Here is a 27,053-nt window from a genome sequence, read left to right as displayed (position 1 = left end):
CACTCCAGCCTGGGTGACAGAGCGAGACTCCGTCTAAAGAAAAAAAAAAAGAAAGAAAGAAACAAAATAGATAAAACGATTTGTATTATGTGAAGCAGAGTCAGGGGCAGAGTTGCCAGGAGCACTACGTGAGGCAGGTGGACAAGGAAGCCTGTCCGAGGGCCAATGAGGCAGAGACTGGAGAGAAGTGAGGGAGTGCATCGGGCGGATTTCTGGAGGAACAGCATCCAGGCTGAACGAGCAGCAGGTGCAAGAGTCCTGAGGTGGAAGTGTGCTGAGGGAGGGAGGTGAGATGGGGCAAGGGAAGGGGGAACTCTGAGAAGCAGCCAGGGGTCATCCCAAAGGGCCTGGTGGAGCACACGGAGGGAGGCATTAGATGGGCTTCTAACCCCATGCTACTGGAGGGCTGGGAGCTGAAAACTAGCTCAGCTTTCAGATTTGAAAGAATCTGTGTGAAGATGCCAGAGGACAAGTGTGGGAGCAGGAAGGGCAGGTGGGAAGCTCTAGCAATCACCCCCAGAGATATCACAGTGGCCGGGCCAAGTGACAGCATGTGAGGGGTATGAGGTGTGAGGACGGGCTCTGTTCGCAGTATATCCTGAAGGTAGAAGCAACCAGGCTTGCGGCCAGAACAAATGGTCCCAGGAAAGCAGAAACGTCCATGAAGAGCATAGCTAGTAACAACTCCCAGCCAGCGAGCTCCGTCTGTGGGCTAGGAGCTTTCCCTGAATTATCTCACTTGGTTTTCACACCAAATCCTACAAAGAGGCACTGCTTGTCAAGTTACAATGAATACATGGAGGCTCAAGAGGTTGGGTGATATCCCCAAGACCCTATGTCAAGCCTTCAACAGAACTGGAATTTGAGCTTTTCAGGCTATCAAGGGGGTGCCCTTTGCATGATATCAGCTGCCCCTGAGATTTGGAAAGTAGTAGCATATTACCTTGCCAGGCGTGGTGGCTCACACCTGTAATCCCAGCACTTTGGGAGGCCAAGGCAGGTGGGTCACCTGAGGTCAGGAGTTTGAGACCAGCCTGGCCAACATGGTGAAACCCCGTCTCTACTAAAAATACAAAATTAGCTGGGCGTGGTGGTGCATACCTGTAATGTCAGCTACTTGGGAGGCTGAGGCAGGAGAATCGCTTGAACCTGGGAGGCAGAGGTTGCAGTGAGCGGAGATCGTGCCACTGCACTTCAGTCTGGACAACAAGAGCAAAACTCCATCTCAAAAAAAAAAAAAAAAGAAAAGAAAAAGTAGTATAAGTAGTATACTACCTGGCACGTATTAGGTACACATAGTAGGTAATAATCATTTGCAAAATACCTACTTTTTTTTCATTTTGAGACAGGGTCTCAGTCTGTCACCCATGCTGGAGTGCAGTGGTACAATCATAGCTCATTACAGACTCAAACTCCTGGGCTCAAGCGATCCTCCTGCCTTGACCTCCCAAAGTGCTGGGATTACAGATGTGAGCCTGTATGCATTTCTTTGTATCATAAACATTTAAAAGGTCATGAGCCCTATACATTCACCAGAATGTCTAAAATTATTAATTTTAAAAAAACAAACTTCAAACCTGACTATACCAAATGCATGAGCAGGGGAAATGTCATACATTGCTGGTAGGAATGCAGAATGGTACAACCAATATGGAAAACAGCTTGGTAGTTTCTGATAAAGTTAGACACTTACTCAGTGACCCAATTTTAGGTATTTACCTAAGAGAAAAGAAAACGTGCTCACACAAACACTGAACATGAACGTTTATAGTTCATAGGAGTATTATTCATAATTGCCCCAAACTGGAAATAACCCAAGTATACTTAACCTGGTAAACAGATGAACAACTGTGGTATGCCCATGCAATGGAATACTACTCAGCAATGAAAAAGGAATGAACTACTGACATGGAGAACAAAATGGATGAATCTCAAATATATAATGCTGAGTAAAGGAAGCCAGGCTTAAAAAGCTATGGTTCCATTTAAATGACATCTGGAAAAGGCAAAATTATCAGTCAGAAACAGATCAATGGTTACCAGAGGCAAGGAGTAGGGGTGTGGGTTGACTACAAAGGGTGGCATGGGGACACTTATAGGGGGATTGTGGTGGTAGCTGTATGACTGTACTCTTCTGCCAAAACTTAGAAAATATACTAATAAGGGTGGATTTTACAGTCTGTAAATTACACCTCAGTAAACCTAACAATGACAGCACAAAGGTTGTGTGCCCTCGCTTCCCTCTCCTGACGGCTACCTCATTTTGCTCCACAGTGAAGCCACTCTCCATACTCCCACTCAGATTAAACCCCTGGAAAAGCTTAGGTATCAGTGCTGCAGAATCGACTCTGCTGTCACCGAGCCAGCTGCCTTCAGCATCATTGGCGAGTTTTAAAATGCTGATGCAGGCCAGGTGCAGTGGCTCATGCCTGTAATCCCAGTACTTTGGGAGGCTGAGATGGGTGGATCACCGGAGTTCAGGAGTTTGAGACCAGCCTGGCCAATATGGTGAAACCCCGTCTCTACTAAAAATACAAAAATTAGCCGGGCATGGTGGCGCACGCCTGTAATCCCAGCTACTTGGAAGGTTGAGGTAGGAGAATCACTTGAACCTGGGAGGCAGAGGTTGCAGTGAGCCAAGATGGCGTCACTGCACTCCAGCCTGGGTGACAGAGTGACAGACTCCATCTCAAAAATAAAAATAAAAATAAAAAATAAATAAAATGCTGATGCTGTCCGGGCATGGTGGCTCATGCCTATAATGCCAACACTTTAGGAGGCCAAGGCAGGAGGATTGCTTGAGCTCAGGAGTTTGAGGTCAGTCTGGGCAATATAGTGAGACCCCATCTCTACAAAAATTTTAAAAATTAGCTGGATGTGGTGGCGTGCACCTGTGCTTCTAGATACTCAGGAGGCTGAGGAAGGAGGATAGCTTAAACCCAGAAGGTCAAGGTTCCAGTGGGCTCTGATCACACCACTGCACTCCAGCCTGGATGACAGAGCAAAACCCTGTCTCAAATAAACAAACAAACACCCTACAGGAGGGAAGTGGCCTCAGGTTGGAGGCAGGCAAAGCTGCTGGGCCTGTGATGGGACAAAAACCTGTGACTCATCCATGCTTCCTCCTTTCAGGGCAGAGCCCAGCAATGGCTGGACCTGCTGAGAGCAGCTGAGGGTGTTCTGGCCACTGCTGGGGCCACTGCATGTGGCCTGCTGACCACTGCCACCCCCTGGTGGTCTCTTATGAAAAAGCATCCTCACCCACCAGCGAGGTGGGGATGAGGGGACAGGGATGCTCCTCCCGTCACCCTTCCTCCCACCATTCACCTTTCTCTCTTGTCTTCCCAGCTTCTTCACTCTCTTTCCCTCTCTTTTGCTTCTCCTCACTCTCCTCCCCTCTCTGCTTGTCTTATTGTTCTGCTCCATGATAGAAAGAGCTTTGACCTTAGTTCACCGGGTTAAAACCTGGCTCTGGCATCTACGAGCTACATGACCAATTGAGCCAATTACTAAACCTCTCTGAGTCGGTGTCTTCATCTGGAAATGGGGATAACTCTGGATGGTAAAATGACATAATCCACATAAAACACCTTGCACAGAGCCTGGTCCAATAGATGTTTATTATTATTATTACTACTATCATGACTGGCACTTGACAGGGGCTCAACCATTGGTTGTGGTAGTTTGCTCTCTTTATTCTTCATCCCAGGTAACCCAGGCTATATATTAGACTCCAGTGGGTACTCTTAAAAAATATGCATGCGCCAGGTATGGTGGCTCACGCCTGTAATCCCAGCACTTTGGGAGGTGGAGGTGGGAGCATCGCTTGAGGCTGGGAGTTTGAGACCAGCCTGAGTAACATGGTGAAATCCCATCTCTACAAAAAATAAAAAAATTAGCTTGGCACAGTGGCACACACCTATAATCCCAGCTACTTGGGAGGCTGAGGCGGGAGGATCACTGGAGCCCGGGAGAGCGAGGCTGTAGTGAGCCATGTTTGTGCACTCCAGCCTGGGAAACAGAGTAAGACTCTGTCTCAAAAAAAAAAAAAAAAAGACCCCATGCCTCCCCCAACTCAGCCCATTTAAATCGGTGGTGGTACTTCAGTACAGGCATTGTTTTTTACATTTTTAAAATTAATTTACTATGTGTTTTTCACCAGTACTCTTTAAAAGCTCCCCAGGAGATACAAATGAAAAACCATACTATGGTGACCACCAGTCCGGGGTTACCTGGGGCTTTCCCAGTTTTAGCACTGGAAGTCCCATGGCCCAGGAGCCCCCTCCCCGCAAGGCAAACTGAGACACTTGGTTGTCCCCTTTCTAGAAAGGAATGGACCCATATTTTCTAATCCCAGATCGGGACACGTGGCCTGGGCGCAGATGGCTGAATCAATTCTCTGAAAGCACCACTTGGGGCAGTGGGTCACTGAGGCCACAGGGTCAGTCTGTGGCAGGAGCTGGGTTCAGGGTGGGGAGAGGTGGGCAGGAGAGCGGCTGGCAGTGGCTCAGTCGGACAGGTCCCCATCGTTGGGCCAGCTGGGGCTCCAGCCACTGGCCGCCCGCTCCATGGCCTTCACCCAGCGGCCCTTCAGCTCCTCCGTCTCGGCCTTGAAGGTGTAGAGCTGGCCTGACTGCTGTAGCTGGAAGACCCGAGGGTCCCCCTGGGGCCCAACAGTCACCTGGTAGCCCAGCAGGGGGATGGAGGTGTGAGCCCTCATGTCCTGGGGGGAGGAGAGAGCAGTGGGCCACTGTCCCCTCTCAGTCCTACTGCCCCAGATAGCCATCGTGAAGGCAACAGCCACGCACGCACAGCTCACACCCTAAACCCCCATGGGTTGGGGGTGGGCTGGTGAAGGCCATCGAGGAAGAGGACAGAAGAACTGGCTGCCTCTGAGGGCAAAGCAGTGGTGACCTAGAGTCAGGGCACAATTCTGAAACCTACCAACCTTGAGACTCCAGGATACCATATCCTCATTGGGCCTCAGTTTCCCTATCTGACATATGGAGCTAGCAATACTCACCCCTGACCCCCTTCACACACACGCTGTGGGAAGGCCAGGGCCTGACGGGGGGCGGGCAGGTGGTGGCCTTACCTGAGGGGCAGCATAGACATAGAGCACGAGGGGGTCATCCCGAGGGATCACACACCAGCCCCGGGGGCCGCTCTTGCCCCACTTGTCCCCGATGAGCTGCAGGAAGCTGCACATCAGGCTCTGGTCAGGCGTGGCTGAGGACCCTTTCTAAAACCAGAAGGAGGGACTGTCAGGGAGCAGAGCAGCCGCAAGTGCCAGATGTTGGTCTGGGGGCTTGACAATCACTATCTCCAATCCTTACAGCAGTACTGAATGGAGGGGTCCTTGGTCCTTGAGGCTCAGAGAGGTCCCATCAAGTGCCTGTGGTCACACAGCTAGCTGGCCAGTGGCAGAGCTGCAGTCAAACCCCAGCCTGCCTGAACCTGTCGCGTGTGTGCCCACAAGGGGCAGGTGCCGGGAGGGTGCCTGGAGCTGCTCCAGGAAACAGAATTGGGCCCTGAGAAGGGGCTGAGCATCTCCAGGGGCAGGCTGTGTTGCCTAGTGGTCAGGGGGTCCTGGGCCTGGAAGGATGGGGAGGATTGGAAACGGGGTGGATGCCCGTGGAAAAAGGCCAACTTTTTTTTTTTTTTCAGATAGTTTCTCTCTTGTTGCTCAGGCTGGAGTGCAATGGTGCAATCTCAACACATTGCAACCTCCACCTCCCGGGTTCAAGAGATTCTCCTGCCTCAGCATCCCGAGTAGCTGGGATTACAGGCATGCACCACCATGCCCGGCTGATTTTTTTTTTTTTGTATTTTTAGTAGAGACGGGACTTCACCATGTGGGCCAGGCTGGTCTCGAACTCCTGACCGCACGTGATCCATCCACCTTGGCCTCCCAAAGTGCTGGGATTACAGGCATGAGCCTTCCCGCCTGGCCAAAAGAGGCCAACTTGAACCTGGGAGTGAATCTCAGCTGGCACAGGCTGGGACCTTCTCCCACCTCCCAGGGACGGTGGGATGTCAACCTGGCCTTCGTGAGGGAGGGGCAGTGGACAGTGGTATTGATGCTGAGCTGGTTGACATTGTATTTGTGCTGCCTAGCTGAGCACAGTTGTACCCCCACAGGGGAGCACCTGTGGGGGCAAGTGTGGCTCAGTGAGGCCCCCAGGGCAACAGAAAGAACATCTGTGACTGAGATCAGAGAGCTGGCTCCTAACTTGCTGTGTGATCTTGGGCAAGTCACTCCTCCAGCCCTGGGTCTCCATGGGATAAGACCGACTGGCCCCTGGAGTCCCTTCCAGTTAGAATGGAGTCTCCAATCTGTCTGACCTGGAGCGTCAGTGTTCCCATCTGTAAAATGGAAGCGGTGACACCAGCTCTTGGCACCCTGGGACTGTCGGGGCAGGACATGGGGACGTGAACATGAGCTGTCCAGAGGGGCCGTACTATCGGATGGGGACATAGAGGAAGTGCAGAAGAATGTGGACGACAGCCTGCAGCCAAAGGGTGCCTCCATTTGGTGACAGGCTCCACACTGCCTGGGCTGTGGCGAGAGGCCTGGGGTCTGTGGGCAGAGAGAGGAAGAGGGAGAGGGGGGAGGGTGTGACCATGGCTGGCTTGTTCCTCAGCACTGGACAGTGTCAGCCCAGCATGGTTGCCGGGCACACATTCCCTGAACAGAGGACGGATGGTGAGCGCGGGGACAGTGGCCCTCACCTCCAGGATGCCCCGCCTCTTGTCCTCCTTGGCCTCAGGCAGCACATTTCCAGTGAGGAATGCGTAGCAGTGGAGGCAGACTCGGTTGGGCCTGTTGTCGTCGTATTTCAGTTCGGCCCGGTAGTCGGAGCACCTGGCACACACCACCTGAGGAGGACACATAAGGGGGCATGGGGCTGAGACCAGGCACCGGAGGGCTGGGCTCCTGCCTTGGTGGGCAGGTGGGGGCATGAGAGCAACCAGGGACTGGGGGAGGAAAAGAAAGCTTCGAGGGAGGAATAGAGGCAGAGCGGGGATGCTCCCCCATGCTGGTGAGGCCCAACTGCCTGGAGGCTGCGACACATGGGGGAGCTCGGGCTCGGGGCTCTTAGGCTGAGGGTTCAAGACCCGGCCCCCACCGCGAGGGCCGTAACTTCTCTCCCCTCCAGGTTCCCTCCGAGTGAGGGCTGCTGTGAACCCAAGGGGCTTGCCCCAGACGGGCCACTGGCATCTGATTCACTTTTCCAAATGCTGTCCTCTCCGCCATCTCACCTGACTCTCCCAAAGACCCCACCAGGCAAGCAGGGCCCAGCTTTTGTCCTCTCCTGACCCTGAGAGCCACACTGTTACCTGGCAGACAGGCCCTCCACACACAGGGTGTGTCTTTCAAGTCCCACAGTTTAGCTTTAAGATTCAGGCAGACTTTGTATTCTGCGCCATCATGGAGTCAAGTGTGTTTTCACCTAAAAATGATAGGCTGGTTGTTTTTACATGGGTACTCTGTGGAGCGGGGCCCACTCTCAGCTCACCACGAAGACACCCCCCAAAGGCTGACATGGATCATGCCGGGAGGCTGGGTAAAAGGGGCCTGGGAAGACTCAGAGAGGAACACTGGGTGCCGCAAGGTGTGACTGCGAGGAAGACTTGGCTTTATGGGGAGCCCAGATGTGGGCGTGGAGATGGAGGGCAGGAGAAAGGGGCAGAGGGAGTGTAGTTCATCAGGCGGCACCAGCCTTCAGGGAGCTCCTCTGTGTGCCCAGCACAGAGTGTGGCCTGGCAGGGACCTGGAGAAGAAGGCCTGGCCCTGCCCCACCCTCACAAGGATTCCCGTCTGGCAGGCAGGGGAGACAGAAACTGGCACCCGAACCACCGAAAGGATGACTCACTGGCTCAGCAGGCACGAAGATCTGCACAGGCAAGAGAAACCCACGGTCAGGGCACAGCCCCACACGGGGGCTTCAGCTACCTCAGGAGCATTTTTTTTTTATTGAGCGATTTCAATGTTTAAATATAATTAGTAAATATTTTTTCCTCTACCAACGTTTAATTTTGAAAAATTTCCTACCGACAGACAAATTGAACAAATAATACAATGATACCACCCACTAGATTCACTAATTATTAACATTTGTGCCACATTTGCTCTCTGTCTCTCTCTATATGTATGTATTTTATTTTTTTCTGAACCATTTGAGGATAAATTACAGTCATCATGACACCTCACCCTTAAATATGTAGCTGGTGGTCTCCTAAGAACAAGGGCATCCTTCTACCTATCCACGGTGTCACAGTCACGCTCAGGAAATTTATTGATACAATATTATTATTTTTATTTTTTTGAGATGGAGTTTTGCTTTTGTTGCCTGGGCTGGAGTACAGTGGGGTGATCTGGGCTCACTGCAACCTCCACCTCCTGGGTTCAAGCGATTCTCCCTCCTCAGCCTCCCGAGTAGCTGGGATTACAGGTGTACACCACCACACCCGGCTAATTTTGTATTTTTAGTAGAGACAGGGTTTCACCATGTTGGCCAGGCTGTTCTCGAACTCCTGGCCTCAGGTGATCCGCTCACCTCGGCCTCCCAAAGTGCTGGGATTACAGGTGTGAGGCACTGCACCCAGCCAATACAATATTATTATCTAGATATGTTGCATCATCAAATTTCTCCCAATGGTCCCAAGAGCAACCTTGATAGCTTTATTTTACCCCAGAAAGAATCCAAGCAAGGATCATACATTTAATTTAGTTGTCAGAATATTTTCTATCTTAAGCTGGAAGGCAGCTACACAGGTGTTGTTATTCTTTGTGCCTCTTTGTATTTCACTATTTTAAGTAATTTTTAAAGAACTACTTTCACTCACAAGTGTGAATCAATTCAACTCTTATTTACAGAAGTGAATCACCAGGAACAGTAGCCAATCCCCACATCCTTTCTACCTGGCTTCGGGATGTAACTCATCACTGACATCTGAAGGCAGGTGTGTTCCCAGGTCCTAGAAACTGACTCTGTCCTGATTGCAGTTGAACACATTTTGGGGACACCTCCCTGACTGGCCCCAACCTGTCCAGCTAGACTCCTCCTGTCCTCTGGAGGTCATCAAAGACTGAGGTTGCAAAGGGCTTCTCTGTTTGCAGAGTAAACAGAGGGGGTTGTGATGTCAACAGAGAACAGCTCAAGTACAGGAGTGCTTAAAAAGCAAAGCGAGATCTACCTCTGGTAACTGGGCCTGGATTGATAAGAGGAGAAACTGTAGTGGACACAGTACCCTCCTCAAGAAGCTGGTAGCTCACCCGCACTGGATGCCCTGCCTGAGTTATGGAGGAGGGGGAAAGAAAAAGAGGAGAGGGAAGGGAAAGAATGTTTTTTGGTGGAATCCTCACTGCCACACTGGAGGTAGGTTTCACGATCCCCATGGCGGAGTTAAGGAGACTGAGGCCTGAACCAGTAGGCAGAGTTAACAACAGAATCCATCAGGTGCCAGGGTGCTGAGGGCTTGCAGAGAAGAGAGGACAGTTAGCCGAAGCGGGTAAAGAGAGGATGACGGGGTGGGTGAGTGCATAGTGGGCATGGGCCTGGTGAGGTGGTGGGGCAAGGCCTGAGGGGGTGCGGGGCTAGATGCCCCTCCACTAGAACTGGGGACCATTTCCTAGCTCTGGGTCTCAGGGTCGTGGAAAATGATGATAAGAATGCAGGTAAATTCATAGGATCAGCTTCAGGGGTACCTTCAGCAAGTAATTTAACCTCAATGGGTCTCATTTTCCCATCTAAAAAATGGGAAACAGCAGCCTCCTGAGGTGTGCTGTGAGGGCCAGATGAGGTAGTAATACACACACCTGGCTCAGAGCTAGTGCCCAACACCACTGGGCTGCATTGGTTGAAGCCAGCAGATTTGGCCAAGATGGGGACAGCAGCACCTGAGCTGGGTGGGTAGAGGCCCAGGTAGGGCAGGTAGAGGCCTAAGTGGGACAGGTAGAGGCCTGGGTGACACTGGTGGAAGCCAAGGTGGGGCAGGTGGAGGCCGAGGTGGGACAGGTAGAGGCCAAGGTGGGGCAGGTGGAGGCCTAGGTGGATCAAGTGGAAGCCTAGGTGGATCAAGTGGAAGCCTAGGTAGGAAAGATAGAGGCCTGGGTGACACAGGTGGAGGCCTCGGAGGGACAGGTGGAGGTGACACAGATGGAGGCCGAGGTGGGGCAGGTGGAGGCCTAGGTGGATCAAGCGGAGGCCTAGGTAGGAAAGGTGGAGGCCTGGGTGATGCAGGTGGAGGCCTGGGTGACGCAGGTGGAGGCAGGAGTGCTGGCAGGAGTACTCACATAGCCGCAGGCCCGGCAGTGGTGGCGACGGCGCGTCAGAGCGTTGAAGGGCTCCTGGCAGCGCATGCACATGGTCACCATCTTGTCCCGGACCCACTGCGGTGCCCGGAGGCCCAGCTCCTCAGACTGCAGCTGTGGGTTAAGGGGAGTTGGGCAGGAATGGGCCCTTGGTGACCTTCTTCCGCCCATCCTCCCAGGGCCTGGGGCCCTGTGCCCACCTGCTGTAGCAGGGATTCTTTGTGTTGGGCTTCCCTGGGGCTTCTACAGCAAGCTGACTGACCTGATCGAGACCTTATGATACGTTAGTTACCATTATTCCTATTGTATAAGTGAGGAAACTGAGGCCCAGAGAGGTCAAATGACTCAGCAGTCACTCAGCAAGCCAGAGTTCAGCTCAAATCTGAACTCAAACCACAGATATCCTCCCCAGCCCCCACCTCACTCACCTTCCATCTTCCCTGAGACTTTGTATTTCTCAGATACTTTCAAACCCAAAACCCTACTGCCCCCTGCAGCTGGAGCTGCAGAGACGTGAAACACTTCCCCAAGACAGCTGTGCAGACAGGCTCTCAAAGGAAGTTTTGCTAAAGGGGAATGCTCAGGCCCTGAGTCGGGGGATGCGCTGGGAAGGCTTCCCCTGGTCCCTTCAGTCTCTCCTGGCAGATGACACTCCCTCTCCCTCTGAGCTGGTATAGGCAGAACAGAGAGGGAACAAGCTCTATTTGGGTTGGTGGCTCCAGCAAGGGATGAAAAAGCCTTCATTTACCTCCTGCTCCTGGATGTCTCCCTCAGGCCCCTGGGCCGCAGCCTTGAAGGTTTCATTCCGCTTCTCGATTTGGTCAATGGCTGCTTGGAAGGCCTGGGGTGCAGGGAGGGGGAGGGTCGGGGCTTGAGGTGTGGAAGGGAGGGATTGCTCCTCTGTCCATCCTTCCGTGCATGCAACAGACAGGGCTGAAAGCCCACTGGGTACCAGGCGCTGGATTCTACACACACGCGGGCTGCCTTATCGGAGGAGAAACTACCAGCCCCAGGTTACAGATGTAAAAACTGAGGCTCAGAGAGGGTAAGTGACTGGCCCTGGACTGCCCAGCTAGGCAATGAGAAGCAGCAAGATAGGAACCCAGATCGGTCTCCAAACTACCACAGAGCAGCTCCTTAGGAAGAGCAGGGAGCAGCTGAGCACACGCAGGTGTGGGAGCATGCACACACACACACGCACGCACACACAAACACAGACACACAAAGACACATACACACAAGCACGTACATACACATGCATACAAACACACACATACACACAAACACATGCACACATGCATGCACACAAACACACATATACACATACACACATACATGTACACACGCACACACATGCATGCACACATACACACAAACACACACACAAACACACAGACACAGACATGCACACACAGATGCACACACATGCATACACACATGCACACACACACACACACACACACATGCATACATACACCACTCCCTCCCCTTCAGCCCAAATAGGCTAGGGAGAATCCCAGGAGCTTCATCAAGGTAGTCTAGTACCAAGAAAGAAAAAAAGAAAAAAGAAAGAAAGGAAAAAGACTCCCAGAAGCCTCGGAGCGTTCCCATACCTGCATCCAGGAAATCATTTCCTCCTGGGACCTGCTCGGAAAGTGAACACAGGTGTTGAGGAGATCAGCCCCTCCCAGTTTTCCCGCCTGGCCCTGGGCCGCCACCCCAGCTCCTTTACCGGGCTTGCAGCTCCAGGGTGCGCTGCTTCCCGGACACCAGGAAGGAGTGGGGAAACTCAGCATCCATCAGCTCCCGCACCTGCCAAGAGGAGGGAGGCAACCAGTTCAGACTCATCATAGCCCGGGTCCCAGGCACAGCACTGTGGAGGGGAGGGAGGTGGATTGTGCCCAAGGGACAATTCAAATTCGAGAGACAGGGATGCAGAGCTTGTTCGCCACCTCTCTAATCCTGTTGAGCCAAGCAAATGCCCCTGCAACTGGGCCTCGCTCCAAGCAAATGGAACCTATGGCTCCTGGAATTTTAGCAGCAGCTAAGTTGACCCAGTGTGACGTGGAGATGACAATTTTTGACAATGGATTCAACAAAAAAGGAAATTAGATTTCAAAACTGGATGAGTATATGAGGTTCATTATACCGTTTTCTTGGCTTTAAAATTTTCATAATAAAACATTAAAGAAAATAACCTTGGCTGGGTGCAGTGGCTCACGCCTGTAATCCCAGCATTTTGGGAGGTCAAGGCGGGTAGATCACTAGAGGCCAGGAGTTTGAGAACAGCCTGGGCAATATGGTGAAACCCATCTCTTCTAAAAGTACAAAAATTAGCTGGACATGGTGGCGCATGCCTGTCATCCCAACTACTCGGGAGGCTGAGGCACAATAATCTCTTGAACCTAGGAGGTGGAGGTTGCAGTGAGCTGAGATTGTGCCATTGCACTCCAGCCTGGGTGACAGAGGGAGACTCTGTCTCAAAAAAAAAAAAAAAGAAAAGAAAAGAAAAGAAGAAGAAAATAATCTTCACAGCAATCTTGGGAAGCAGATACTATCATCCTCATTTAGGAGATGAGGAAATGGATGCTCAGAGAGGGCAAGAGAGCTGCCTGAGGTCACACAGCACCTAAGGGGCAAAAGAAGGATTCCACCCCAGGTTTTCAGCCCCCAAGGGTGAGATGGAAGAACATCTATTTCCATCCTACCCCCAGAGTCCTGTAAGCACACTTCCTTCAGACGGTGTGGAGAGAGATTTGCAAAGAGAACCTAAGACACAGGCTGAGAGCACAAGAGCTTCTGTGTGGGGCAACTTTGTTGCCATTAAATTCCTCAAACACTTGAGCTCCTCTGCTGCCTCCCATGTGGTGGCCAGGCCTTTGCACACTTCCAGGGCAGCTCACCATAACCCAGACAGCACTGAGTACAAGCACATCTTTCCTCAGGTTAGGCCTAGTCTGCAGCCTCACTCCCCAGTCTTTGCCTTAGAAGGGGCTGATGTGATTTGGATTCGATGCCCTTGGCAATGAGGAGGCGGTCATGTGGAAAGAGGTATTTGGGAAAGAGCCAAATACCTCTTTGTGTGCAAGGGATGACAGGCTGGATGTGGGCCAAATGGGACAAACCTGTAGCCCAAAGGCCAGTTAGGAAGCAACATCATAAATGGTCCTGGCCTGCCCAGGTGCACTGGAGAGACAGAAGAGGTTTCTAACTGGGTCAGGGAGAGGGGAAAGGGAAAAGAAGGGAGAAATCCAAGGTTTGCAGTCCAGAAGCAGGAAGAAATATCATGCTTTTGACAGAAAAAAGGGAACTGGGGGCTCCTGACCTGAGGGTCCAGGCTGCCCCTGGGATGTTCATACAGAGGCTTCCAGCTCCCCAGCAGGTTTCAAGAGGAGTTTCCAGAACTGTGCTGAGCTGAGCCTCAACCACTTTCCCCAGGGCTAGGTCAATTCAGTCCCCTGCTAGTCCATACAGTACGTTTGTAGTAATTAGAAAAGGACAGCCTTCCTCAAAACACTTTACTGACATCTGTTGGCAAACTGGCATAATACCTAGATATTGTTGGAACAAGACATTTGACTGCCATCTGCCGGACAATTCTCACTATAAATATACCATCTATGATATATCATAGTCTGCTAATCTGCAGTTGGCTGCAGAAGACATCCTCTTAGATGAGGTATCCTTGTGCAGTGTACAACCTGCACAACTGTACGTGGAGCCCCTAGGTATGTGTGTCCACACCCCTTCCTTCTTCCCAGGCTGGCCCTGTGGGGGATGGCAAAATACTAAGACCAAGTCAGACCTTGGAGAGAATCAGCTGCTGTGAACTAGGCCTCCCTGACACCTAGGAAGGAGGAGGCCAGGGAGTCATAGGCCAATAGGAACCATCATGATGGTCAAAGGCAAGATTTGCCTCCAAATCACAGACTCAGAAAATGGTTCCTGCACAGAAGTAGGGTGAGTGGACAGCTCTGCACTTGCCAAGCCCATGCCGTCCAGGAGAGGGTGCTGTGCGGCTGCTGGAGTATCAGACATGTTAGCCGAGACTAGCAGACTCCAGAGACCCGGCACACACAGGGCTGGTGAGCTCTCAACACACACCCAAAGCATCTGATGCTCTCAGGCTCGGCTCTCTCTGTTTTCTCTCTATGACTCTGTTTTGGTTTCTATATTTCTTAGCCTTCCTATCTGTCGATCTCTATTTTTCTATGCCTGGGTCTCTGACAGTCCTTTGGCAGGGCCACCCGTCTCCATTTCTCTGTCTGTAGCTCTCTATAAACCTGCCTTTCTCAGCCTCACTCACCAAGGACTCCAGACATACAAGCCTGCACACGCCCTGGTCTATGTGACATTCTGGCCCCTTCAGGATGGAAAGCTAGATGCCAGGGCCGGGGCTGCACTCCTAAAAGACTTCAGTCAGCTCAGGTGTCGGGGTGAGCTGTGAACCCATGTTCCCTCATCAGCTTTCATCATTCCCAGGCTGCACCCCACCCCCAGGCCCTGGATTGCTCCAGATGCCAGGCAACCCCAGTCAGGAGCAGGGGTGGGGCTCTTTTGCTGGGGTCTCTGGAGGCCCCAGGGGCTCTAGAGGGTAGAGCATTCTGGTTCAACTCCTGCCTGCAGCTCCCTTCTGGGGCTGAAGGGGGTAGGGGTGATGCTGAATAGGAGAGTGACAAGATGGGCCAGACCAGACCTCTGCTTCTTCCAGTCCCAGCCCTCAGGACACACCAGGACTCAGGAGCCAGCAGAGAGGGGTGGTCAGGAAGCTTCTCTGGCTGTGTCCTCCACGATGCCAGAAATTCCACCATAGTCTTGAACCCTCTGGATTGAAGCCTTAATAGGCGACAGCAGAGCGTGGTGGTTAGACGCAGAAGCGCCAGCCTTTGTTACACCTGCATCTGAATCCTGGCTTGGTCACTCGAACTAGCATTTGCGATATGACCTTCAAGCAAGTTATTTAAGTTAGAAAGGTTTTCTAGGGCCTTGGTTTTCTCATGTTTAAAAATGGGATTAACTGCAGATACATTCACACACAGGCAGGCTGTACCAGGCTATTCACTGCAGCCTCATTTGCAGCTGCTGACAACTGAAAACAATCTAAGTGTCTCTCAGCAGAAGACTGGTTGAAGAAATTCCGGTGCATCTGCACAGTGGGACGCAATGCAGCTGGGCAGGAGGATGAGGAAGCTCTCAAGTACAGGGACACCTCAGTCTCCAGCATTTGCAGTTAGTTAAAAAAAAAAAAGCAAAGTGCAGAAAAATGTGTAGAGTATACCACTGCTTCTTGCATAAATGAGGAAACAATCCTATTATATGTTATTGGTTTGCTAGGCGAAGACCACCTCTGGAAGGCCTCACAAGAAGCAAGGATTGCCTTCAGGAAGGGGAACTAGGGGATAGAGTCGGGCGGAGACTTTCATTGTATATATTTTTTATATTGTTTGACTTTAGAATGTGTATAATCTGTATTTTTTAAGTAGTAAAATTAAAATATTTTTAAAAGATAAAAAACAGGCTGGGTGTGGTGGCTCATGCCTGTAATCCCAGCACTTTAGGAGGCCAAGCCAGGTGAATCACTTGAGGTCAGGAGTTTGAGACCAGCCTGGGCAACATGGTGAAACCCCATCTCTCCTACCAAAAATACAAAAATTGGCCGGGCATGGGGGCTCGCGCCTACAGTCCCAGCTACTTGGGAGGCTGAGGCAGGAGAATTGCTCGAACCCAGGAGGTGGAGGTTGCAGTGAGCCGAGATTTTGCTGTTGCACTCCAGCCTGGGCAACAGAGTGAGACTCGGTCTCAAAAAAAAAAAAAAAAATCCAGAAGATTCTAACAGCCCCTGCATCATGGGGCTGTTAGGAGGATCTTGTGGTCCCCCCATGGGCTCCATCATGGACTACTGGCCCTGCTCATTTGCCATAATCTCTGGATGAGGTAGATGGGGACACACACAAGCCAGCCGCTGAGCTGACACTGGAGACCTTTCCTACTCAAAACGTGTTCTGTGCTCCTACAGTATCAGCATACACTGCCCAGGATATGTCTCATTTCATTTAATTCTCACAATCCTGCAGGTGGGGTCAGTTGTCAGCCCATCTTAACTGGGAGCTGGTTAGAAATGCAGGATCTCAGGCACCCCCCCACCCAGACCTCCTGATTCAGAACCTGCATTTTTACAAGATGCCCAGAGGATTCGCGCACACATGAAAGTTTTTGAAGCAGTGGTATAAACAGTAGGGAAAGCACAGAAAGGCCAAGCTGGCTCATGCACTGCCGCGAAGGGAGGGCCAAACCTGTGGGAAGCTGGGAAGGACAGGGCAGGAGGGCTAGGATCCCAGAGGGGAGAGCCCCACACTCTTCCATCTCCATGTTTGCCCAGGCCCTGCAAGGGTTTGGTTCTGTGATTGAGAACCTGGTTGGCCCCTCCTCTTACTCCCTGTACTCAGTCCTACCCTTGAGGTGGAGCCCAGTGGTGTTTAGGGGGCCTCTTACCTTCATCCCGGCCACATCGATGCGGGTCCTCACCTGGAACTGGGCGCCCACCTGGATCACCCTGGGCACACAGTAGAGCAGCATGTTGTTGAACTGCAGGAGACACAGGCGTGAGTGGCCCGTGGCAGGGGCAGGGAGGATGGCTAGGTGGGGTTTCCCCGAGGGTGGGCCGAGCATGGGCTGAGCACCACTGGACCCGCTCCCCTTTGAACACACTCTGGCCAGCCTGCTCACAGGACATCACAGGTGATGATGTAGGTGATGAGGAAGGGGCTGTCAAGCTCCCAATTCCCCTAGGATGGTTACTGAAGGGTCACCCTACAAGGGACCATAGCAGACCTCAGAAACCTACAAGGCCTTTCTCAACAGGGGCTCAGGATGGCAGGGGTTTACAAGAGGTTATATCTCTGTTCCCCAGACCTCCAGGCAGGACCACCTTTCCAGGTGTCAGGAGATCCCCCGGCTTCTTCCGTGCAAACCCAGGGCAGTTCTTCCTAGTAGCTAACCTTACTCCTTCCTGCTGTGCGCTCTCTAGAGCACAGATTAATATCACAGGCTTTGCAGTCAGACTGGGTTCAAACTCTGACTCTGTTGCTTCCTAGGACATGTCTGGGAAACCTGTGGGTTGGAAATCTCTGAGGCTTAGAGGCAGCAGGTGACCTGTCCAAAGTCATCTGGGTGCCAAAGCAGAAAAAGACAGAGAAGCGTTCTCTTCCCTGTCCCCCTGCAGTGCCAGGTAGAGGCCAGGCAGTATGACTCGGGCCAGAGTGGCCCATGGACTTCCCTCCCCAGTGTGGAGAGGAGCTCCCAGCACCCTCTTACCAAGAAAAGGTAGCGCTCCATGGGGTCGTTGCGGCGGAAGGAGATCTTGAGGACCGGGCCCTCACGGAGCAGGGTGTTAGAGGGGTCTACTATGTCGTCCTCGAGGCCCAGGCGCTGGTACACCTCCCACAGGTCCTGCAGCCGCTCCTAGGGGGTTGGGGTGCATCCTCAGCCAAGTCTGGGCAGGGCTCACCTGCTTCTGGAAGGCTTGCCTTGTGGGGACGGGGACTGGGGGGTAACAGTGAGGGCAGCAGTGGGATAGGTGTCATGGGTGGGACCAGGCTGAGACCTGCAGGGAGGGGGACAGGGCTCCAGGAGAGGGCGGGCTGCTTACCATCTCAGTGATGGCTGCATTGGAGTGCTGGGCAGCTGAGAAGATCATGTCCAGGGCTTCTGAAAGGGGCAGGGCCGGAGTTTATTCCCTGAGAATCTAGGGCTGGTGGCTGGGGCAGGAGGTCCTTGAAGTTCAACAAAGGGCCCTCAGGACCTGCCATGACAGCCCCCAGGAGCAGCCCTGCCTGTGCAGCCCAGCCATGGGGTGTCTGAATGGCGGGAGCCCCCCAGGGCTGAGAGACTGGAAGCCACTGAACGTTAGCCATTAGGTGTTTGGCTTTGGTGACTCTCACTGCTTCCCAAAACAAGCCAGACCTAGAGGGTATAATGGAAGGAGCATGGGCTTTGGTATCACATAGGCATGGGTTCAAATCCCAGTTCTGCTACTCTCTGGCTGCGTGACCTTGAGCAAGTCACTAAACCTCTCTGGGCCTTAGTGTCCTCATCTGTGAAAAATGGCTAATGGTATGGATGATGTCTATGAAGTGCCAGTGGTTGATGTTGATGACTGATGGTCGTCAAAACCATTTTAGCAGGAGCTCAGTAAGTATATGGGAATGGCTTAGGCCTCCTCAGCCCCCTGGGACCCCTGGGGGTGTCCTCACTCTGGGCATCGGCCTGGTCTGGGGCCTGGGCTGGCAGCTTCTGGATGTACTCCTTGAGCAGCAGCTCGTAACGTGGAATTCTCTGCACTGGTTCCAGCATGTGGTGCTGCAGGGTCAGGCTGCCCGAAGCCTCGCTGCTCTTGGGGAGGGATGGGGGAGCAACACGGAGAGGGTGAGAGAAGGGAGGTGGGTCAGGCTGCTCCTGAGGGCCGGACGAGTAGGCAGGGGCCTATGGAAGCAGCTGAGCCTGGGAGATGCCCGGAATCACTCAAGGCAACCTGAGCCACTGCATGCTGGGAGTGGCAATGCTGACTCCAGCCCTCCCCCAGCCTCACCTGGATGCGAGTGAGAACCTCCTGGAAGAGTGGAGACTTGTCGGTCCAGGTGGCCAGCAGCTCAGCCGCTCGCTCAAAGTTCTTGACATACTCACTGTACATCTTCAGGAAGGGGGCCAGCTTCTGGATCACGTCACCGATGCGGGGGTTAGCTGTCCTGCAGGAGGGGCACAGGGATTGCCCTCAGCCTAGAGACCTCCTCTCGACTCTAGATAGGGCCAGGTGAGGCCAGGCTCCCTGAATCCCCCAAAGCAAACTTTCCACGGCAATTCTGGGTGTGGGCGGGGTACGGGGGTGTCATCCTCACATGCGCCCCTCTACTCCTTAGACTGTGAGCCTCCTGAGGCCAAAGGCTGTTCTGGTCCCAGGTTGGCCTCATCCACAAGGCCCGGCACAGTGTTGGGCCCACAGCAGGTGTTCAGTAACTGCTCAGTGCTTCATTATGTAACAATAACGAGGGCTACCTACCAAGCACTACCCAGGACATGATGCATGTCTCATTCCATGTAATTCTCACAACCCTGTAGGTGGGGGCAGCCACTAGCCCATCATAGAGGTGAGGAAGTGGAGGCTCAGAGGGGTACGAACTTCTCCAGGATTGGCCAGCCACAGTGGCTTACACCTGTACTCGCAGCACTCTGCAAGGCCTGAGGCAGGCAGGCAGGTTGAGCCCAGGAGTTCAAGACCAGCCTGAGCAGCATGGTGAAACCTCATTCCATGCCCCTCACACTGAAAAAAAATAATATATATACATATATATACACGTATATATATGTATACACACACACACACACACACACACAGAACTTTTCCAGGATCATCCCATGGCAGGGCCTGCTAGAGCAGAGCAGCAGGGAGCCATGGCCATGGCCTGGGAGTGAGGCTTCCTGAGCCTGACTCCTGGGATGCACAAATCATGCTAGCTGTGTTCCCAGGTAAGTCACTTAGCATCTTTGTACCCTGATTTTCTCATTGAAAAAAATTGGAATGATGGCAGGCGATCTCATAGGGTTATATCCTTCTCTTTTCTTTTCTTTCTTTTTTTTTTTTTTTTAAGTCAGGGTCTCTCTCTGTCACCCAGGCTGGAGTGCAGTGGCACAATCATGGCTCACTGCAGCCTCGACTTTCCGGGCTCCAGCAATCCTCCAACCTCAGCCTCCTGAGTAGCTGGGACTACAGGTGCCTGCTACCATGCCCGGCTAAGTTTTGTATTTTTGGTAGAGATGGGGTTTTACCATGTTGCCCAGAGTGGTCTCAAACTCTTAAGCTCAAGTGATCCACCCACCTTGGCCTCCCAAAGTGCTGGGATTACAGGCATGAGCCACCGAACCTGGCTATTATTATCTTAAAAAAAAACAACAGTTTATTATAAATGTTTTAAGCAATCAATACATCACTAGGTTTAACAATTACTAGCATTCTTCTTTGCCAAAGATCTTAAAGGACATCCTAGACTTCGTGGCAAACTATATAAGGCAAGTAACTTCACTGTTAAATGCTTTAGTGGCCATCTGTGAAAACAAGAGGGTTTCTTGCATAACCATGATGCCGTCATCACACAGCAGGCTGATGTGAAGATTGAGGGAGTTAATAGAGGGAAAGCCCAAGGCCAGGCGTGTAGGAAGCCCTCAGTTGGCACTGGCTATTTTCACTGTCCCAAAGTCACTTGGTCACTTGGCTTGGCCAGGACCTGATCCACCCCTTTCCCCAGGAAGCAGTCTGCACACACACAGCCTCTCAGAGCTCATTCACCCAAGCCCTTCACTGTGCAGACAGACCGAGCCCCAGGGAGGCATGGCCACACAATAAGGGCCTGGGCCTAGGAGGCTGAACCTAGCGCCCTGGGGTCTCCCCACCTCCACCTGGCCAGGGCTGTGGTCTGAGGCCTCAGGGGCTCCTGGTGGACCTCACCAGTCGTCCAGGCGCCGCTGCAGCTCTGGGAGGAAGAACTGAGAATGGAACTGATAGATGGAGGAGATGTTGGAGAAGATGACCCTGACCACATCCTCTGGGAAGGCCTTGCTGCTGCGGGCTGTCTTCAGCAGCTCCTGGAAAAACACCTGTAGCCGCCACGACAGGTCACTCACTGCAGTGACAGGGAGCCACCCACACATCAGCCCGGGGGAACTAGGGTCCCACCAAGCCTACTGCATGCTTCCACCTCCCTGATCTCCCGGCATCCTCACAGCAACCCCGGGAAAAGAAGGCAGGGGAGGTTGTGTTCTGGCCACTTTACAGATGAGCAAGGCAAAGCCTAGAGATGCAGGGACTTGGCCAAAGGCTGGCAGCTGATGAATGCCATAAACAGGCCCAAACTGTGGAGGTCTTGGACTTCATCAGACTAGAGCTCCCTGCGGTGATGAATAACCCTCTAGCCTTAGGGCTCCTGAAAAACTATGAAAGGTAAGATCGTTGTGAGGTTGTGGGCATTGAGATGACAGATGAAGATACCGTGTAGGCCAGCAAGGGCCAGCTGGTGTGTTCTCTGCTATACAGGGGCCAGCCTGGGCACCACAGGCAGAATGGGGAGTACTGCTAACAAGACCTCCTGATTCTACCCCAACCCCAGCCATTGAGGTTAAAGGGCCAAGGCTTCCTGGAGTCAAAGCCAGGGCTCCTGACTCAGCTCTGGTGAGCAGGGTGGGAAGGCTGAGAAGGGGTGAGGTGAGGAGACCCAGGGCTGGGGCTCTAGAGGGGGGTGTCCTGGTCACTGGCCTGGTCTAGCAGGTGGAGGCGCGCCACATAGGCCTGCTCTGTCTCCAGCAGCTCCTGGACGATCTTCTTCTCTGGCTCCTGCGGAGGATTGGAGGGGAGAGAAGGAGAAAAAGGGGGAAGACAGCTTTGGTCTCCTCTGATGGGGACCTCGGTTCAGTCTCCAAAGTTGCTGCAGTGAAGCATGCCTCCCGGGATTCATGGCCTCCCGCAGTGCATCTGGGCCGGCCCTGGGGTGGCTTTCACAGAATGCAGCTGAGTAAGGCTGTGCCAGTTCTCTGCCTTAGCCTTAAGAGGCCTGGAAGCTTCCACCTGTGCTGTCTTGGGAGCTGTGAATCACTACATCAAGGGGTCTGGCAGCTCTGATAGGGAGACCTCATGGACAGGCCACGTGGAGAGGAGAGGCCTGGAGAATACACGGAGAAAGAGCCCAGCCCTGCCAGCATCCCAGCTGAGCCCAGTCTTCCGGCTGTCCCTGCCCAGATGCCAGACTTGCGAGCTGAGCTGTCTTGGGCATTCCAGCCCCAGCCATCCTCTGACTGCAGCTACTTGAGAGATCCCGCTGGGAACTAAACTGCGTCCGCCAACCAAATTCCTGTGTTGAAGCCCTAACCCCCAATGTAAGTGTATTTGGAGATGAGGCCTTGGAGGAGGTAATTGAGGTTAAATGCGATGATAAGAGTAGGGCACTAAACTGGTAGGATTAATGTCAGAAGAGGAAGACACACCAGGGATGACAAAGAAATGGCCATGTAAGGACACACTGAAAAAGTGGCTGTCTTCAAGCCAAGAACAGAGACCTCCCCAGAAACCAAACCTGCTGGCACCTTGAACTTGGCCTTCCAGCCTCCAGCACTGTGAGAAAATAAATGTCTGGTGTTGAAGTCTGGGGCATTTTGTTACGGCAGCCCAAGCAGAATCACACAGACCCCCGAGTGAGGCCAGTAGAAAAACCTCCCGGCAGCATCCCAGTCAACTCACAAAATGTGAGAAACAATAAACAGTTACATTCAGCCCCTACATTTTTTTTTTTTTTTTTTGAGACAGAGTCTCGCTCTGTCACCCAGGCTAGAGTGGAGTGGCGCAATCTCGGCTCACTGCAACCTCCTCCTCCTGGATTCAAGTGATTCTCCTGTCTCAGCCTACTGAGTAGCTGGGATTACAGGCGCCCACCACCATGCCCAACTAATTTTTGTATTTTTAGTTGAGACAGTGTTTCCCTATGTTGGCCAGGCTGGTCTTGAACTCCTGACCTCAGGTGATCTGCCCACCTCGGCCTCCCAAAGTGCTGGGATTACAGGCGTGAGTTACTGCACCCGGCCAGCCGCTACATTTTTGATAGGTTTGTTCAGCAGCGATTGAAAACCAGGACGCATTACTATAACCACTATCCCCATTTTACAAATGAGGAAACTGGCACAAAGAGACTCAAGTGACTTGCCCAAGGACACACAGTTAGTAAGCAGACGTGCTGGGATGTGACTCCAGGGAATTTGGGTGCACAGTATCTGCATGCCAACCCTTGAACTCTGCAGATGAGAAAACTGCAAGCCACAGAAGAGATCAGACTGGGCTTTAGTCTAAGGGCAGGACAGTTCACACTCAGACCTCTATTTCTAGGTTGAGATTGTTGTCTCCTCCAGTGGGTAAACTGAGGCCCCACCTGAGAAGAGTATTAGGTTCACAAGATGGAGACTGTTCCAAGCTGTGTGGCCTTGAATAAGTTCCTTAAAACTGTGTTTCAACTTCCTTGTCCAAAAAACTCCTACACGAGGGACTCGCGAAGTAATCCAGCACGGTGCGTAGCAGGCAGTTAGTGAATCAAAGGCCATTAAGCATGGGGAAATCTAGCTCCCAGCTGACCTCTGATCACACCATACCCCCACCTGGGGAACTGCTGGCTCTGGCTAGGAAAGCATGTGTGGAGGGGAGGTCAGGGAGAGCTCCCCACCCCAGCACCCCACACCTCTACCTCAGCCCTCAGGCACCTGCGTCCCCGATCCTGAGAGGGTCACAGGCTGGCAAGATTTCCTCCAGGCTTCGCTGGACAGCTTGTTCTTCAGGGAGTTCAGGTACCTCCTGCTGACTGTCCTGGGCTCAGACCCCACGGCCTCCCCGACATTCGTCTTCTCCCGTGGTCCTGGGGACTCGGGAGGCCTGCACTCAGGGCGGTGATGCACGTCCTCTAGCCTCTGGCCTCTGGGTGCTGCTTCTGGGGTCCTGAGGAGAAGAGACAGACCTGAGGGCTTCCTCCCTGGAGAACAGGGAAAACAGCAGCAAGTCCCTGGTGTGGATTTGGGTTGCCTGGTGCAAATCCCCAGTGCAGGGGCCCCTGGGTGCCTGGCTTTCTTTGGGAACATGCTGAGTAAGACTTTCACTTCTCTCCCAACACATTCTTGGAGGGAACTCAGTGTTCAAAATGAGTCAGGGTGGACTATATTTTATTTTCTGGGGAACTGCATACTTCCTTGTTTAAAATGAAGCCACAGTGTCCAGGAATCCTTTCTGTATATAGGGGTTTTTGAGTGGTACCCCCTGGATTATCCTCACCTTTGGACCTCACCTCTGTTTTCAGTTTCCACATCAGTAACCTATACATCAAGGGAAGGTAGGAGCCACAGAACAATATAAAGTGAGAGCAGGCCTGCAAAAGCTGGGGCTTCTCAATGGGATCGACATCCTCCACACGTCCAGAAGCAGGGAGAGCCAGCCCAGCAGCAGATGCTCTGTTCTCCCAGGGACGGGCCTTCGTAGGTCACCTTTATTACCCTGTGTACTGGGTTCTGCAAGCCAGTCAAATTCCTTAGACAACAGGGCCCACCCTTGATGAATACACCCAACGTTGCCCTTGGTGTGGAAGGGCTTGTGATGACAGAACAGGGCAGGCATCCTTATGAGAAAGACAGGCCAGGAAATGGAAGGCCAAACAAATACGAAATCTCCAAAACTCCGTGAGAAAGGTTTTCATTACCCATATTTTGCACTCAAGGAAACTGAGGTCTGGACAGGATGAGTAACATGCGGCTCGGAAGTGGCAGAGGTGGGATTCAAATCAGGCGACTGCTTCCTGAGCCTTCACTCTAACCTGCCCCTCCCCATTTGAGTAAAGGAGAAACAGGTCCGCGGAGTCAAAGTGACTTGCCCCAAGTGACACAATTGGGTTTGTGGCAGCGAAAGCATTGGGACCTAGTGCTGTGTGGCTACTCCCAGGCTCTCCCACCCCTCCCTGGCACCCCAGTCCCTGGTTTCTCAGCCCATGGGTCTGCAGCTCATGGGCGTAGCTGGTTCTCAGGCTTTCTGTTCTACATTTGGTTTCAGGTTCTGCATTTCTGTTCTAGGGCCCCTGGCCAGCTTCTGTTTCCTCTTTGCCCCTCAGTTTCAGATCAGCTGAGGTGCTGGAGACCTCATAAGGAAGCCCAGGCCAAGGCAGTTGGTATGGGTCCCCTCACTCAGTAAGGAGTGGCTCTCACCCTCTTGATGCCTGCTGGGACCTAACTCCCGTCTAAGGGCTGCCCACTCCTGCCAGGGTTATTGCCTGGGCAGAGCACAGCATGCTGAGGGGCTCCACCCAGGTGTGCCTAGTCCACGTCAAGCATGTTGAGTGAGGTGGTACCATCCACCCACACCCAAGGGGGTGGTGGGCCAGGAAGGCGGCACCCAAGAGCTGTCTTTGGTGCTGAACAGGACGAGCTTGGCAAAGATCCCGGGAGAGGCAGGGGAGAATCACCCAGCTCAGGAAGTTGAAGACTTCTAGGTCTACATCTATGCCATCTCCACCCTGAAGCCTACAGGAAACATTGCCTGCCATGAGTGCCCTCAATACAGCATCCGGGCCATTCCTAGGACATCTACTGTCTATGACCTTGCATCATAGTTATTCGATGAGCTCAGCATCCAAATACTGAAACCCTTCTTCATCCTCTACAGTTCCTGTAGGATGCTGTGCTGTGCCACCCATGTCCCTCCTTCAGGAATGAGGCCTCCCCACACCATCCCCACCAGCTACTGGTAGTACTGGGGGCTGCCGGGTAATTTATTGGCTGAGTCCCTCTCTGGGAATCACTCTCTGGAAGAGAGAGCTGCCTCACCCAGAGTCTCTTGTCCAGTCCACATGGAGATACAAATACCCAGCCCTCTTCCTCAGCTGGAACAACCGAGAGGCATCCCAGCTCCAGAGCTCCCTGGGACAGGCTGAGGCCTCTGTGGCAGGTGCACTGCAGTTCAGCATCTCCCCCTGCCCGGCCCTGCTTCCCTCACACCCACAGCTGTTGTTCCCAAAAGCTCTCCCTGATAAATCACCTGAGGCAAACCTCTGTCTGAGTCTATTTCCAGAAAACCCTACCTGGGACAGCCCCTAACACAGTCCTGAGCTTAAGAAATGCCTGCAGAATGGATTGATGCCACACATAACACACAACACACACATACACACACGCGCACACACACAAACACACATGCTCCCAGGGCTACCAATGACTCCACGCATCTGGCCCAGCCTTTTCCCTCCAGACAGACGCCCCAGCATTGCCCCAGATACTTAAAGCACTTGGCATCCTCACCTCTCTGTGTCTCCATTTCCTCATCTATAAGACGGGAACAGAAACAGAATCTACCCCTATTAGGCTGTTCGATGACTAAATTAAATAAGTAAGGACATGAACTTAGAGTAGGGAGTACCCCATCAGGATGCTGCCCGTACATCCTGGTTTGCCTCATACGGTCCCAGCTTTACCTGTAATGCCTCCCCCACAACCACCACATTTTATTTGGCATTTACTTTCAGTTTCAATTGTGTGCTGAATGATAAATTATATGGTTATCCTAATCATAGGGCGTAAATTCTTGGTGAGTATCAGCTACCTTTTCTGAGAGGTGCTGGCAGGCACTGGGTGGGGTCCTGTGCCCACACACAGGCTTTGGTCTGCCCATGCTTGCTCGTAACCACACCTGTCTGGACTCTCCCAACACACACTGGCACTCTCACCCCTGCCTGGCTCCTGGTGTCCCACCGACACTCTCCCATGCTCCAAGGAATCCGTGACCGAGGAACGCGGGGCTGCCCCTGCAGGAGGAGGGTCCGGGGCAGGGCCCAGGGAGAGAGCTGCCAGAAAGGCTGGAGGGTGGCTGCCAGCCCACCATGGTGACCCTCCCACCCCAGCTGCCCATACCTGCTATTCTCAAACACAGTGACCAGGTTGGACACAGATGCCAGCTTCTCCTCACTTGCCCCCTTCATCCTGCCGGTTTCCGGGGTGGATCTCAGCTACCCTCGAAGCAGAGAGAGAGGCCTCCAGCCAGCACACTCAGCCACGCTGGCCTGGGACAGATAGGCTAAATCACCCATGAATCTGTTCTGATCTTTCTTGAGGGCTCAGAAGGTCGGCTCTTGGCTTCAGAGTGAAGAAAGAGGAAGTGGTCCCAGAGCCACAGCCCTGC

The 27,053-nt window shown here is 52.8% G+C and overlaps 1 protein-coding gene across 8 annotated transcripts, besides 8 other annotated features; it reads right to left on the bottom strand.

The window, feature by feature from the left end:
- Positions 2,949-3,028: an enhancer, noted in NCBI's record as "active region_24450". NCBI's record gives its function as "activates an Ori minimal core promoter by ATAC-STARR-seq in GM12878 lymphoblastoid cells {active_cell/tissue: GM12878}" and the evidence as "EXISTENCE:reporter gene assay evidence [ECO:0000049][PMID:35858748]".
- On the bottom strand, positions 3,602-27,016 carry FGD2 (FYVE, RhoGEF and PH domain containing 2). 8 transcript variants are annotated; one of them, NM_173558.4, is made up of 16 exons: positions 26,786-27,016; positions 23,606-23,837; positions 21,621-21,698; positions 20,817-20,965; positions 18,906-19,062; positions 18,571-18,709; positions 17,967-18,025; positions 17,633-17,779; positions 16,811-16,903; positions 12,051-12,130; positions 11,932-11,962; positions 11,067-11,159; positions 10,301-10,432; positions 6,733-6,879; positions 5,096-5,242; positions 3,602-4,723 (listed from the first exon to the last, which is right to left on the bottom strand). In NM_173558.4, the coding sequence occupies exons 1-16, from the start codon at positions 26,851-26,853 to the stop codon at positions 4,508-4,510; spliced, it is 1,968 nt and encodes a 655-aa protein (NP_775829.2). In that variant the 5' UTR covers positions 26,854-27,016; the 3' UTR covers positions 3,602-4,507. The 8 variants fall into 8 exon arrangements, 7 of the variants coding, with proteins under 7 accessions (NP_775829.2, XP_047274289.1, XP_047274290.1 ...); XM_047418332.1 differs by lacking the exon at positions 3,602-4,723 and adding an exon at positions 6,346-6,580 and having other exon boundaries at positions 5,122-5,242; XM_047418333.1 differs by lacking the exons at positions 21,621-21,698; positions 23,606-23,837; positions 26,786-27,016 and having other exon boundaries at positions 18,571-18,704; positions 20,817-20,914.
- Positions 6,313-7,250: an enhancer, noted in NCBI's record as "H3K4me1 hESC enhancer chr6:36993197-36994134 (GRCh37/hg19 assembly coordinates)". NCBI's record gives its function as "activates a minimal SCP1, AML or CMV promoter by ChIP-STARR-seq in naive H9 embryonic stem cells {active_cell/tissue: H9 hESC(naive)}" and the evidence as "EXISTENCE:reporter gene assay evidence [ECO:0000049][PMID:30033119]".
- Positions 6,313-8,161: a biological region, named in NCBI's record as "MED14-independent group 3 enhancer GRCh37_chr6:36992286-36993485".
- Positions 6,962-8,161: an enhancer, noted in NCBI's record as "MED14-independent group 3 enhancer chr6:36992286-36993485 (GRCh37/hg19 assembly coordinates)". NCBI's record gives its function as "activates an origin of replication core promoter dependent on BRD2, BRD4, P300/CBP and CDK7 cofactors, and independent of MED14, by STARR-seq in HCT116 cells {active_cell/tissue: HCT116}" and the evidence as "EXISTENCE:reporter gene assay evidence [ECO:0000049][PMID:35650434]".
- Positions 18,153-18,870: an enhancer, noted in NCBI's record as "H3K4me1 hESC enhancer chr6:36981577-36982294 (GRCh37/hg19 assembly coordinates)". NCBI's record gives its function as "activates a minimal SCP1, AML or CMV promoter by ChIP-STARR-seq in naive H9 embryonic stem cells {active_cell/tissue: H9 hESC(naive)}" and the evidence as "EXISTENCE:reporter gene assay evidence [ECO:0000049][PMID:30033119]".
- Positions 20,301-20,800: an enhancer, noted in NCBI's record as "H3K4me1 hESC enhancer chr6:36979647-36980146 (GRCh37/hg19 assembly coordinates)". NCBI's record gives its function as "activates a minimal SCP1, AML or CMV promoter by ChIP-STARR-seq in primed H9 embryonic stem cells {active_cell/tissue: H9 hESC(primed)}" and the evidence as "EXISTENCE:reporter gene assay evidence [ECO:0000049][PMID:30033119]".
- Positions 24,881-25,050: an enhancer, noted in NCBI's record as "active region_24449". NCBI's record gives its function as "activates an Ori minimal core promoter by ATAC-STARR-seq in GM12878 lymphoblastoid cells {active_cell/tissue: GM12878}" and the evidence as "EXISTENCE:reporter gene assay evidence [ECO:0000049][PMID:35858748]".
- Positions 26,871-27,000: an enhancer, noted in NCBI's record as "active region_24448". NCBI's record gives its function as "activates an Ori minimal core promoter by ATAC-STARR-seq in GM12878 lymphoblastoid cells {active_cell/tissue: GM12878}" and the evidence as "EXISTENCE:reporter gene assay evidence [ECO:0000049][PMID:35858748]".

Source organism: Homo sapiens, chromosome 6, assembly GCF_000001405.40.
Source record: "Homo sapiens chromosome 6, GRCh38.p14 Primary Assembly".
NCBI classification, from domain to species: domain Eukaryota; kingdom Metazoa; phylum Chordata; class Mammalia; order Primates; family Hominidae; genus Homo; species Homo sapiens.
The sequence above is the reverse complement of the archived record's forward strand: the minus strand, read 5'-3'. Positions and strand labels throughout refer to the sequence as shown.

Excerpts from the sequence above, each read along its gene's own strand:
- FGD2 (NM_173558.4), bottom strand. The coding sequence starts at position 26,853 with ATGAAGGGGGCAAGTGAGGAGAAGCTGGCATCTGTGTCCAACCTGGTC. Across the intron at positions 23,838-26,785 it reads ACTGTGTTTGAGAATAGCAG|GACCCCAGAAGCAGCACCCA; the intron begins GTATGGGCAGCT and ends TCTTCTCCTCAG. Across the intron at positions 18,710-18,905 it reads AGGTTCTCACTCGCATCCAG|AGCAGCGAGGCTTCGGGCAG; the intron begins GTGAGGCTGGGG and ends TCCCTCCCCAAG.